The sequence below is a fragment of the Homo sapiens genome, chromosome 1 (assembly GCF_000001405.40).
Source record: "Homo sapiens chromosome 1, GRCh38.p14 Primary Assembly".
NCBI classification, from domain to species: domain Eukaryota; kingdom Metazoa; phylum Chordata; class Mammalia; order Primates; family Hominidae; genus Homo; species Homo sapiens.
In genome coordinates this window covers 53,711,254-53,724,993 of record NC_000001.11, presented here as the reverse complement: position 1 = coordinate 53,724,993, position 13,740 = coordinate 53,711,254, and the positions used below count along the sequence as shown (strand labels likewise).

Here is a 13,740-nt window from a genome sequence, read left to right as displayed (position 1 = left end):
GAAAACTAAATTCCCATTGCTTGATGTTGGCTGAGCAGGTGGCACTGTTGGAGACTCGCCTCCTATTCCTCTTTCTCCTCCTCATTTTTTTTCATTATCCTACAGTGATCAATTGAGCATTGTTAGGTACTGGACCAATCATCTTTTTAAAAATGAATCATCTTAACAGCCATGCACCTGTAGTCCCAGCTAGTGGTGAGGCTGAGACAGGAGGATTGCTTGAAGCCAGGAGGATTGCTTGAAGCCAGGAGTTCAAGACCAGCCTGGGTAACATAGTGATACTCTGTCTTTACTTTTAAAATTTAAAAATTAGCTAGGTTGATGGTGTGCACCTGTAGTCTCAGCTACTAGGGAGGCTGAGGGGGAGGATCACTTGAGCCCAGGAGTTCAAGGATGCAGTGAACTGTAGTCAAGCCACTGTACTCCAGCCTGGGTGACAGAGCAAGACCCTATCTCTCAAAATAAAATAAAAGATCATCTTGTTTAATCTTAAAACTACCTTGTGATGTTTGCTTCTCCACAAAAACACTATGGCTATTTAGATGAATTACAATTAAATAAAATTAAAAATTTAGTTTTCCAGTCATACTAGCTACATTTCAAGTGCTCAGTAGACACATGGCTAGCTGGTAGCTACCATATTGGAAACTGCAAATATAGAGCATTTCCTCCGTCACAGAAAGTTCTGTTGGACAGCATTAGTCTAAAATATCATTCTTTAATGTATTCATTTGTTCCTCACCTGTTTCCTGACACTCTTGTCACATGCTAAAGTCTCTAGCATCCTTGGCCTCTACCTTGGGGAGCATCCAGTTGAGAGGGTGGGCAGATGGCCATAGAAGTGTTGAGATGGGGCTGTCATGCTGGCTACCAGTCCTGCCTCCTGTTGGAGATACACATGTGAGTCCTAGGATCTGTCCTATTCTCAGAGTGTTCTTAAGGCAGCACTGATAAAAGAGATCAGGGCAGTCTTCCATGAGAGGTAGCATTTGAGTGGCCAGACCTGGTGGGTGGCTTCTGCTGGTTCCTTAGCGGGTAACCCAGAGCCAGCTCACCCCTGGAAATGGAAACATGCTGACAGTGCCCTGAGCAGCAGCTTAAACGGGAATGGCAGAATATTGATTTATTCTTGTAGGTTCCTGGATTTTAACAAATTACTGAGTTTTTACTCCTAGTCCTTCTTTGGGAAGTGGCTGACCCTTTAAAGGTAATTTAATTTAATACTCTTTATTTTTTCCCACTCACGTGAGTACTATATACTTACTGTAGAAGCTTTGGAAACTATAGAAACATGGAAAGATGGAAATAATACTTGCCCAGAATCTCACCCCCCAGTAATGACTACTATTTACATTTTGGTAGATTTCTTTTCAGTCTTCTTTCTATGCTTGTCTATTAATATAGTTTTATATCATTGAGATCATTCTGAATATAGTCTTATTACTTACATTTAAATTTAAGGCCAGGCGCGGTGGCTCACCCCTGTAATCCCAGCACTTTGGGAGGCCAAGGCAGGCGGATCACCTGAGGTCAGGAGTTCAAGACCAGCCTAGTCAACATGGCGAACACTGTCACTACCATACAAAAATTAGATGAGCATAGTGGCACGCACCTGTGATCCCAGCTACTCGGGAGGCTGAGGCAGGAGAATTGCTTGAAGAACATGGGAGGTAGAGGTTGCAGTGAGCTGAGATCAAGCTGCTGCACTCCAGCCTGGGTGACAGAGTGAGACTCCAGCTCAAAAAAAAAAAAAAGTAAATAAATAAATAATAAGCTTAACATTGAACATAATAAACCTTTTTTATGTTATTAACATTCTTTGTAAAGATTCAGAAGCATATTTTTTATTTTTATTTTTTTTGAGACAGAGTCTCACTCTGTCACCCAGGCTGGAGTGCAGTGTCACGATCTTGGCTCACTGTAGCCTCTGCCTCCCAGGTTCAAGTTATTCTCCCGCCTCAGCCTCCTGAGTAGCTGGGATTACAGGCATGCACCACCATGCCCAGCTAATTTTTGTATTCTGAGTAGAGATGGGGTTTCACCATGTTGGCCAGGCTGGTCTTGACCTCCTGACCTCAGGTGATCCACCCGCCTCGGCCTCCCAAAGTGCTGGGATTACAGGTGTGAACCACTGCACCTGGCCTACTCTTTTTTTTTTTTTTTGAGACGGGGTCTCACTGTCGCCCAGGGTGGAGTGCAGTGGCCCAATCACAGCTCACTGTAGCCTCCACCTCCCCGGGCTCAGGTGATTTCCCGCCTCAGCCTTCCAGTAGCTGGGACTGCAGGCACACGCCACCACGCCTGGCTAATTTTTTTGTAGAGACAGGGTTTTACCATGTTGGCCAGGCTGGTCTTGAATTCCTGGGTTCAAGCAATACTCCCACCTCGGCTTCCCAAAGTGTTGGGATTATAGGAGTGAGTCACCACACCTGGCCTGCATATTACGTTTTATTAAATTTGTTGAAGTATTTTGAATAGGTGATACATTAAAATGGTCCAAAATTTGGAAGGCCCAAAAAGGGTCCTTAGAGAGCGCCTTCCTCTTCTCTCTTTTGTCTGGCCTCTCAGAGATAGTTTATGTGAATACAAACAAATATGTATATATATTACTTGCATGTGCATAATAGTTCAGAATTTTCAGCTTTCCCCCAGTAAAGCTAATGCTGCAGTGAATATCTTTATGTAGTAATCTTCATTTGCGTTTCTGATTATTTTTGTAGGATAGATTCCCAGAAGTGGAAATTACTAGGCTACAGGGTAGTAACATTTAACACATATTACCACATAGCTCTTTGGGAAGGGTACACTGATTTTCACAACTGCAGGCATTGCTGTCTCATGGAACTGTATCTTTACCAGTGTTTCAACATTTTCCTAATTTGAAGATGGAATTGACATCTGGTTTCATTATATGTTTGTTTGATTATTAGTATAGTCAAACAGGTATTGTGTGTTGCTTCAGAGTTCTTATCTCCTCTTTTGCAAATTGGTGTTTATGTTGGGCATCTGAATATTTTACTTATAAAATTTAAGAATTGGCATTTTTAAAGTGCTGTCATTAGGGATGTTAATGCCTTTGTTCATCATATTTGTTACTAATATTTTTATGAGTCTGCTGTCTTAATAAGTTTTTTATGATTTTGAAATAAAAAATTGAATTTTATGTCATATTTCCAAGATTTTCTTTTGTCTTTTCTTTCATTGCTTTCTTTTTGTCGTTCACCACGTCCCATCGTTTGTTATTATTACTATTTGTGGGAGCTTGTTTTATTAACATTCTAAAAATAAACTTTTATTTTTAGCAAAATAATGCCAAACATAGTTTTTAAAATCACCTAATAAAATAAGGCTTTAGACAGAACCCCTCCTCCTCTGTCGCACTCCAGAGAGGCAGCTGCCTTCGGCCAGGGCTGCTGTGGTGCCCACCTTCAGGGGGCACCAGGTGTGTGGACCTGGGTAGCACAACAGCCCTGCCTTCAACTCAGTCATTTTTTTTTTTGGCATTTTCTTCTGTACACCTCAGTTACAAAAATAAAAACAGTGGAAGCTAAACTTTACGTGGTGTTTACGGTCCAGGCTTGCTTCAGGTGCCTTACAAATATAATTCCTTTCATTCTCCCAGCAGCCCTAGGAAGGAGTTACTGTTACTCTCCCCGATTTGCAGATGAAGAAATAAATGTGGAGGAGGGAAGGAACTAGTCCAGGGTTACGCAGCTGGTGAGTGGTGGAGCTGGGATTAGGCCACCCTAAATAAGATTTCTGCTCCTGTTCCTGGATCAAGTATACTTACTGTCTACTGGCTTCCTATTATGATAGATGAAGATTTAGTTCTCTTTTTTTTTCCTTTCAGTCATTCAATACATGATTTTTATTTATTTTATAAAAAATTTATAAATAAAAATGTATTTTATAAAAAAGTGATTTTTGTGTTTTCCTTTTAGTCATTTAATATATTTTTACTGAGTACCTACTGTGTGCCAGAAACTTTTTTTTTTTGAGATGGGGTCTTGTTCTGTCACCCAGGCTAGAGTGCAGTGGCGTGATCTCGGCCCACTGCAGCCTGGACCTTCCGGGCTCAAGTAATCCTCCCACCTCAGCCTCTAAGGTAGCTGGGACTACAGACTCCGGCTACCATGCCCAGATAATGTTGTATGTTTTGTAGTAGTGGAGTTTCACTGTGTTGCCCAGGCTCAGAAACTAGTTTATTTCTTTTTTAAAATTGATACATAATAGTTGTACATATTTTTGGAGCACACGTGGTATTTTGACACATGCATACAACGTGTAATGATTGAATTGGGGCAATTGGGACATCTATCACCCCAAACATTCACCCCCTTTTATGTTGGAAACATTCCAGTTCCTCTCCTCCAGCTATTTTGTACTATTACTGTTAACTATAGTCACTTTACTGTACTACCAAATGCTAGATCTTATTCTTCTGCCTCTTTTTGTACCCATTAACCAACTTCTCTTCTTTTTTTCCTTCCCTCACCCTTTCTAGCCTCTAGTAACTGCCATTCTACCCTCTACCTCCATGAGAACAATGTTTTTAGCTCTCACATATGAGTATAAGGAAGTTACGGTATTTTTCTTTCTGTGTCTGGCTTGTTTCATTTAACACAGTTCCATCCATGTTGATGCAGATGACAGGATTTCATTCTTCTTAAGGGCTGAATAATATTCTATAGTGTATTTATACCGCATTTTCTCTATCCATTTGTCTATTGATGGACACTTAGGTTGATTCCTTCTTGGCTATTGGGAATAGTGCTGTAATGGTGATGGTATCCTTTTACTATTATTATTATTGTTTTTGATACAGAGTCTTGCTCTGTTGCCCAGGCTGGAGTGCAGTGGCACGATCTTGGCTCATTGCAACCTCTGGTTCCTGGATTCAAGCAATTCTCCTGCCTCAGACTCCTGAGTAGCTGGGATTACAGGCGCATGCCACCATGCCCAGCTAATTTTTGTATTTTTAGTAGAGACGGGGTTTCACCATGTTGTCCAGGCTAGTCTCGAACTCCTGACCTCAGGTGATCCACCTGCCCCAGCCTCCCAAAGTGCTGGGATTACAGGCATGAGCCAATGTGCCAGGTCTCAGATACCCCTTTGATATACTGATTTCCTTTCTTTTAGATGTATGCACAGCAGTGGGATTGCTGGATCATAGGGTAGCTCTAATTTTAATTTTTTGAGGAACCTTTATACTGTTTTCCATAATGTCTGTCCTACATTCCCACCAACAGTGTCTGAGTATCCCCCTTTCTCCACAGAGGATTTGGTTTTTTTCAACTCCCACTCCACCCCCATCTTACTCACTTGCACTACCCCTCCCTCCTTCCTCCTGCCCCAGTTGCATCACAATTCTTTGGGTAAAGTGGTGCACCACTAGGACTACGTGTAACGGGGTATTAGTGTAGGCATTGTGGGTCTGGCTGAGTCCTAAGACAGTGGATCTTAACAGTAGGCATTGGCCACTACATTCCTAAGCAGGACTTCAGGTGTGTAAACTCTGATTTTGAGATCCTTACTGGCATACGCTTTGAGGATATGAAAGGGTTGAGGTGGAAGAGCCCACAGAGAGGATTTCTTCAGAGAGAATTGTTGAGAAGCTGACGTTTTCTGCCCCCCATGCCAGGTGGGCAGGGAGGGAACGCTTTTTCCTTACCTCAACTCAAGAGAGAAGGGCTCTAAGAGGATCACTCAGAGAACTGGGCACAGCCCTGGACGCCGAGCAGTGAGTGCATTTGATCCATGCCTGGAAATACGGAACACGAAAGACTGTGGTTGGAGCCCCTGCTTCGTGGCAGAATGAGGAGAGGTGGCTGCATTGTTTCTGCCAACGATGGGGCAGAGGCAGTGTTCAAGGACCTGGGCAGTGGTCGTTTTCAAACTGATCCTGCCCAAGAGAGCTTCTTGCCAGGTAGAGGAGAGAGGCTGGAAGTGTCCCACGGGATGCATGCGGGTGCCTGCCAACCGGAGGAGCTCCCTAGGACCCCACAGAAGTGGCCCAGGGTAACACAGTGGGCACTAAGCATCCAAGTCCAAAGAGCTCCAGTGGACAGAGTCAGGGGTCTGAGACACTGAACCTGGCAGGCCTGAGGGGAGGGGAGAAGTTTGATTATACAGAAAAGTCAGACTTGAGATTGTTAATCTGGACAGGACATTTTAATTACTAAGATGAGACTGTTCTTGGGACTAAAAAGTGTCTCGGGGATTGTTTATGATCTAGGAATGATCCGCAGAGTTAAGGGAACTTCCAGACTTCCACAGACTTTCTAGGAGTAGGGGGTGGGGATGGGGAACAAGTCTGCAGATGGAGTCTTAGAAAGGACAGTGGCAGTGGTGTGGGCTGGAGATGGTAAAGCTGTTTCTGTAGCACCCTCTGGAGTCTACTTTTTCAGCATGGTGGTTATGTTTGGAACAGGATGTCAAATCAAGTCATGCACCATCAGAACTTTTCCTTTCTAGTACAATTTTTTGTTTTCCTGAGGTTACATATGACCTCTTTTTTCATTTGCTTAGTTTTATATTTTATATTTTATATGGGGCTGTTACCATTCCCCCGCTTGCCGCCATACTCCATCAGTCTGTCAAATTCCTGTGAATCATACTTTCCTGAATGTCCAAATGCATCAGGTTCCCTCAGTTCCGTCTCTCCAGCACTGCAGACTGGTTTAGAGGGGTGCATTCACACCCTGCTGACCTCCCGAGGCGTCTCTTCAAAACTCTCCTGTGCCCCCTGGATTCTGGTTTACTATATATCACAAACTGACTGATTTAGGCAGAGAAGAGATTTTATTAAAACGATGCTGAGTGGCTCTCAGAATTTTCTATAAGACTAGAGAACCAGGCTTGGAAAACTGCATAGCCAAGAACCTTATCCCAAATCCCACCACAGGGCTGTCCAGTGAAAATGCCGCTGGGCCCCGGTGCACAGCTTGCATTGCTGCTATAGTGGGGGCTGTAGCTGACTTCTCTGTTGTCACCTGTTCCAGAGTGGACCTGAGCCATCTCTCTGGAATCACGGTCTGGGGTGGATGCTTCGCATGGGCAGAGCCTAGGTCATGTGCCTGCATGGGAGGCTTGGAAAGCAAGTTTTTTTTTTAACTTACATTTTTGTTGAGCACCTGCTGTGAGTTAGGCACTCTTCTAGATGCTGGGAAGATAAGCAAATAGGCAAAAAATGTCTGTACTCACAAAGCTTACATTCGAGATGGGGGAAAACACAGTAATCAAGTAAACAAGTTAAATATAAAGTTTACCAAATGATGGCACAGGCTATGCAGACTATAGAGAGAAAGCAGTGAAGGGAGATGGAGGCCTGCTGGGTTACAGTGCAGTCAGGATAGGGTGACATTTAAGCAGAGACAGAGGATCTGCAGGATCTGACATTTTCAGTGAGTGTGTGTGTATTGGGTGAAGTGGGGGTTTTGCCTTATAAGGTGAGTAATTTTCCCCGTAGAAGAAGTGTGTTCAGATGCTGGGCACCCCCCAAAAAGGCAAATGTCCTTTGCATTGTATTTTCCTTTTTCTTGGTTTAGCCCCATAATTTTCTGGAGTGTATCCTGCAATGGCTTGGTGAGAAAGGTGAGTAGGTATGTATGTCTGAAGGTGTTTCATTGCTGATGGATAGTGTGACTGGGTAATTTTAATAAGAGCGAACCTTTAAATGTTTACCATGTGCCAGGCACTGTCCTCACTGCTTTACGTGGATTAATTCATCCTCACATCAAAGAGGTGATAGAGATTATTATTATGCCCATTTTATTGATGATGAAACTGAGACCCAGTGAGGTAAGTACCTTGGCCGTGATCACAGCTGTTAAGTGGCAGGTCTAGGATTTGAAGTTGGGCCATCTGGCATCAGGACGGATCCTGTTAAGAATTTTGAAGAGAGAATTCAATTGTCTTCCAGCTTCCCACATTGCTGCTGAAAGTCCAATGCCATGATGATTTCTGATACTTGGTCTAGACTCTGCATTTCCCCCACTCTACCCCATCAATTTTTCTAGATAGTTTATGAATTTTCTGTCTCTCTCTCGTGTTCTGAAATTTTCTGTTGATGTGGGGTTTTTCCCATTCGTTGGGCTAGATACTTGGCAGGCCCACTGTTTCTGGAGACTCATGACCTTCAGTTCTAGACAGAGTATTAGTTCTTTGACTTTTTTTTAAATATAATTTCTCTACTGCCGGTTTCTAGAAATCCCCCTAGTTGCCTGTTTGGCTTTCTGTATTGATCCTCTACATTTCTTATGTTTTTATAATACCTAGCTCTTTGTCTTTTTGATCTGTTTTTGGAGGGTTTCTTTGACTCTTTTTCCCATCTTCTTTTTTATTTTAGTTATTTTTAGGTTGCAAAAGCACTTTCAGGCATTGTGCCTCCATTTATGGATGCAATATCTTATCATACCTCTCTGAGGAGATTTTTAGGATTTTAAACCATCTTTTTCCTTATTCCCTGTGTTCCTGTTTTCCATTCATTTCATCTGAGTTCCACTTGTTGATTGTTGTTACTCCTTTCAGGTTGAGGGTTTTCCTGACATGCCGATGATGACTCTCTGGCCATACGAGGATGTCAGATCTACTGACCCTCCCCTTTCCCCAACTGGTCACCCACTTGTCCTCACTTCCTTCCTTGCCTAGCTTAGTGTTCATTATAATTACACCTCCCCAAGCACCTTCAACCCTCTGCCTCCCTCTCCCCCTGTTGTTCTCACTGTTGGGCCCCTACCCTAGTTAAGATCGAACCACCTGTAGCTGTCTGTCAAATGGTGCTAGAGGAGACACACGGAACCCTGAAAGAGCCCAGTCTGTATCTGGGAGTTGAGAGCTCTGGCGAGTACTCTCCAAGCCTTGCCTCCCCTCCTCTGTGGGAGCTGGCAATGCCTCTCCTCTATCAACAGCCAAACCATCCCAGGGCTTTGCATCCACCCTCCCTCTTCCTCGAAGACTGTGCTTCAGCAGTGACCTCCCCTGCAGTGCGACTCTCGCCCTCTCCAGGGGTCACTCCTATTGGCATATAACTGTGCTTCAGGACCTGCCAGCTCAAAAAGCAAAGCCACCATGCCTTCCTGCGTCTAATCCCCCTCCTGCCACCGCCCCATTCTCCACTTCTGTTTGCAGCCTTTCTTCCCTCACTTCCCATTCTCTGTCCTCCTCAGTCCACCGACTGCTCTTGCCAGGTCCTCCACGGCCTCCATGGGGCCAGATTTGGTCACCCTGTCTGCCTCCATCTCACTCGTCCTCTCAGTAACATTAGGCACAGTGACCATTCCTGGTGGGCCCTAGCTGTCTCCCTGCACCGGCAGCTCCTTCTTGCCGCCCCCTGCTGGCGTCCCTGCCTCAGTCCTGAACCTGTGCACACTGCCTGGTCTGAGTGGTTGCAGGAGTCTCCTCATTGGTCTCCCAGCCGCCACCCTTGCCTCTCTGTGTTCTGTACCCAGCAGCCGGTGTAAATGCAATTTAAGATGTCAGTCATTCGACAGCGTCACTTTGAAAGCCCTCTGTCCGCCCTCTGTTCTTCTGCCCTGGCCTCCAAGGCAGATGCAGTGTCCCTGCTTGTCCTCCACATGACTCTGCCTCTCTTGCCACACTTGGACCATGCTGACCTTGCGCTAGGGCCTTTGCATGGCCCACTCCCTCCGCCTGGTGTGCTTTTCCAGCTCACCTGCCCATGGTGGACTCTGGACTTTTCTGCTTACATATCACCTCCCAGAAGGGTCTTCTCTGATCACCCAGTTTCTTTGTGTTATTTTACTCAAGAATGAAGACTTGGCCAGGCACGGGGCTCACACCTGTAATCCCAGCACTGTGGGGGGCTGAGGTAGACAGATGGCTTGAGCCCAGGAGTTCGAGACCAGCCCAGGTAACATAGTGAGACCTGTTGCTACAAAAAATAAAAAAACTAAGTGAACCTGGTGGCATGCACCTGTAGTCCCTAATACTTGGGAGGCTGAGGCAGGAGGATTGCTTGAGCCTGGGAGGGCAAGGCTGCAGTGAGGCATGATTGTGCCATTGCACTTCAGAGTGAGACTCTGTCTCAAGTAAATAAATACATAAATAAATAAAAATAAAAATAAATTTAAGAAAAGAGTGAAAACTTGTGTTTAAGAAGGAAAACTCCATGGGAAGCAGGACCTTGCCAGGGCCTAAAGCAGTGCTTGCTGCACAGTGGGCCCTGACTCCAAGTGGGTGGCACATCCTTTGCTGCGCCTGTCCATCTCAGTGATGGTCACACTGGGTGTCCATCTCCCCAGGGAGCAGGGCCACACTTAATTCATCTCATCTCAGTACAGGGCCTGGCACAGCCTCTAAAGAGGCTTGGCCACTATTTGTAGGAAAAAATGCATTTCTTGTTAATCTCATGTGAGCCCCAGTTTTGATGCTGCCCGCAGCTGGTACAGTGGAAAAGATGGGGACCATCTTTCAGACCATCGTGGACTGGAATTTTCACACTGTCTTGAGGACCAGGCGGGCTATTTTTGTAAGATCTCTGTTTTCTCTTCTGTGAAATGGGGTTGATAATCCATGTCCCTGCTCCTGGTGAGGCTCAGGTGAGATACTGGGTAAAAAAGTACTTTTATTTTTTAATACAAAACTCCAATAAAAGGGTATTTACATAACCCATTCTGCAGTTGAAATGTAGTGACCATTTATGGAGCACCCCTCTGCTATAATCAGGTGCTGTTCTCATGTTTATGTAGCTCATTTAATCTTTTCAACACTCTTGTGAGGCTTCTGGTAATTTTGCAGCTGAAGGAGCTGAGACTCAGAAGATGAATGACTTGTTGGCGATTCTTGGAGCTTGTGGTTCCTCTGATTTCTTAGGCTCATCCCCATCTCCTGCTAACTTTGGACCTTGTTTGTATTTCTAACAACAAAACCCCATTGCTGTTTCCGGTTTCTTTCTTATCTTTCTTCACTTAGTAATTTTGAGGAGAAGGGGGAGGTTGGAGAAAGTGGAGGGAAATGGGGAAAAAGGTGTTAGAAATTGCCCTGTCCAGCCACACACCCTAAAGCTGGGGCACAGGTGAGGCCCTCAGGGGGCCAGGGTGTCCTTCTGTGGCAGTCTGTCTATACCCTCTGGATTAGCTAATGGCTTTCAGGGAGAGTTAGCTGCCATCTTAGGAGCTATCTCCACCCTGTTTTAAAAGGTCTTTTGTCCTTTATCTCTTTCCTTTACTTCTCTCTTGCTCTCTGGTGTGCCTCTGTCTCTCTCTTGTTTTGAGGTAGGGTCTTGCTCTATCACCCAGGCTGGAGTTGCAGTGGTGTAATCACAGCTCACTGCAGCCTCAACTTCCTGGGCTCAAGCGATCCTTCCACCTCAGCCTCCTGAGTAGCTGGGAGTATAGGTGTGCGCCAGTAAGTCCAGCTAGTTATTTTTTTAAAAAATTTTTGGCAGAGATGGGGTCTCACCGTGTTGCCCAGGCTGGTCTTGAAGAGACGAGGTCTTACTGTGTTGCCCAGGCTGGTCTTGAAGAGACAGGGGCTCACCGTTTTGCCCAGGGTGGTCTTGAAAAGATGGGGTCTCACCATGTTGCCCAGGCTGGTCTTGAAGAGATGAGGTCTCACCATGTTGCCCAGGCTGGTCTTGAAGAGATGAGGTCTCACCATGTTGCCCAGGCTGGTCTTGAAGAGATGAGGTCTCACCATGTTGCCCAGGCTGGTCTTGAAGAGATGAGGTCTCACCATGTTGCCCAGGCTGCTCTTGAAGAGATGAGGTCTCACCATGTTGCCCAGGCTGGTCTTGAAGAGATGAGGTCTCACCATGTTGCCCAGGCTGGTCTTGAAGAGATGAGGTCTCACCATGTTGCCCAGGCTGGTCTTGAAGAGATGAGGTCTCACCATGTTGCCTAGGCTGGTCTTGAAGTCGTGGCATGTCTCTGTCTCCGTTTATACTTTGTCACCTCTTCTTTCTACAACGTCTCTGTTCCTTCCTTTTTGGTATTTCTCTTGATACTGTCTCTATTTCTGACTTTCTCTTTTTTCCCTCTGCATCTTACCTTGGTTTCTCTCTGCCTCACTTTTTACCTGTGTTTTTTCTTCCTCTTGGTTTCTGCCTTCCTGGGTCCGTATTCACATTTGGGCTCCTTTTACCTGCTATTTCTGGCAGTGCCGTGTTTGCCGTTGTGTTAAAGGAGAGTCCGTGTTGTAGCCCACCGCCGATGATGGCTCTTCCCTGCACCTGAACTGCCTAGAAATCAGAGCCTGGGTAGGACCAGACAAAGCCTCACATGGTCAGGTCCTGGGGCACTCGGGAGGAGGGCAGGCTCTGCAAGCCACTTCTGCCAGCCTTATGGAGTGGTTCTCAGACCCACCCCACTGCCTGTGACCTTATTCAGTTAGGGGATGCTTGCTGACCTCTCCTCTGTGTCGAGTCCTGTGCTGGGCCCGGCCTTCAAAGGGCTCCTGATAAGGATATGGACTTGGAGCCTGTTTGTTGTGACCAGAGCTGCACAGGTATTACCAGTTGTACACACAGGAGACCTGCAGGGCCTTTATGAATCACCTGCAGATTCAGGCTTCTTGGCAGCAGGTTGCTGGAGCCAGGCTTTGAATGATGAGGAAGCCCTTTGCTAGATGGTGAGCAGGGAGGAAGGCATTCTGGGCCCTTGCTATTTAGTGTGTGGTTTCTGGACCAGCAGCATTGGCATGGCCTGGGAGCTTCTTAGAAATGCAGAATCTCAGCCTCAGTGCAGACCTGCTGCATCAGAATCTGATTTTCACAGGGTCTCTGGGTGATTCCTGTGCATGTCGAAGCCTGAGAAGCACTGCTTTAGGCAAAGACTGTCTGTGCAAAGGCCTGGTAGAAGGGAAAGAGCTGGTATGTTGGGTAGTGGGGAGGAATTTGGTGTTGCCAGAGCAGAGATGGGCCAGAATGAAAACTGGACTCAAATCAAACAGTGGCTGAAAGTGGCCAGAATGGGCCAGAAAAGAAGATTGGACTTAAATTGTGCTGGGCCTTGAATGACTCCCTAAGGATGAGAACAGAGCTGGGGCATTGCCTGCTCCTTCTCAGAACTCAGACTCACAGACCCGCAGGCTCCCATGCTAGCGAAGGCCTGTAGGGATCATCAGGCCCTGCCTTCCCATTAGATGAATGGGGAAACTAAAGCCCAGAGATCCCAGGTGACTTGCTTAAGGCCACACAGCAAATCAGAGGAGGGACTAGACTCCAAACCCATGGCTCTGTGATGCCACAGCTAGTGCTCTTTTGGGAAAGTGTTAACTGATAACAATGACTGCTACTTGTGAAGGTTATGCTACATGCCACACACTGAACCAAGAGATTTCCATTGGGCTAATGAAACAGTTCTTTTCCCTATTGTGATCTCCGTTTAACTGACAGGAGACTAAGGCTCTGAGAGGTGAAGTCACTTGCATAAGGACTAATAAAAGAAAGAGCTGTGCTCTGAACTTAGCTTGGCGGACCCCGGGGCCCGAGCTCCCTGCTGTGCTCTCCCCACCTGGAGGAGAAGCAGACACAGGTCAGCTTGAACCTGGAGGCAGCAGGAAGGCACAGAGGCTTTTATTTATTTGTTTATTTATTTATTTACCTTTTAAGTTTTACCTTCTTTTTTTCTTTTGTTTTTAATTGACACATGATGATTGTACATACTGATGGGGTCCACTGTGATGGTCTGATACATGTGTACACTGTGTAATGATAGAGGCTTCCATGCAGGGCAAGGACATGGTTAGGCCTGGGCTCTGGGAAGATCACACAGGTGTGGT

The 13,740-nt window shown here is 45.8% G+C and overlaps 1 protein-coding gene across 11 annotated transcripts in view, besides 4 other annotated features; it reads left to right on the top strand.

Moving 5' to 3' along the window:
- GLIS1 (GLIS family zinc finger 1) overlaps positions 1 to 13,740 on the top strand; it is a 232,926-nt gene that overhangs the window by 14,171 nt on the left and 205,015 nt on the right. The window lies entirely within an intron of this gene.
- Positions 8,911 to 9,080: an enhancer, noted in NCBI's record as "experimental_8368 CRE fragment used in MPRA reporter constructs". NCBI's record gives its function as "activates a minimal promoter by MPRAs in K562 erythroleukemia cells, with activity observed for both the introgressed and non-introgressed 1:54181672 variant alleles {active_cell/tissue: K562}" and the evidence as "EXISTENCE:reporter gene assay evidence [ECO:0000049][PMID:34662402]".
- Positions 8,911 to 9,414: a biological region, named in NCBI's record as "H3K4me1 hESC enhancer GRCh37_chr1:54181253-54181752".
- Positions 8,915 to 9,414: an enhancer, noted in NCBI's record as "H3K4me1 hESC enhancer chr1:54181253-54181752 (GRCh37/hg19 assembly coordinates)". NCBI's record gives its function as "activates a minimal SCP1, AML or CMV promoter by ChIP-STARR-seq in naive H9 embryonic stem cells {active_cell/tissue: H9 hESC(naive)}" and the evidence as "EXISTENCE:reporter gene assay evidence [ECO:0000049][PMID:30033119]".
- Positions 13,212 to 13,412: a silencer, noted in NCBI's record as "peak235 fragment used in MPRA reporter construct". NCBI's record gives its function as "represses an SCP1 promoter by STARR-seq MPRAs in K562 erythroleukemia cells {active_cell/tissue: K562}" and the evidence as "EXISTENCE:reporter gene assay evidence [ECO:0000049][PMID:32103011]".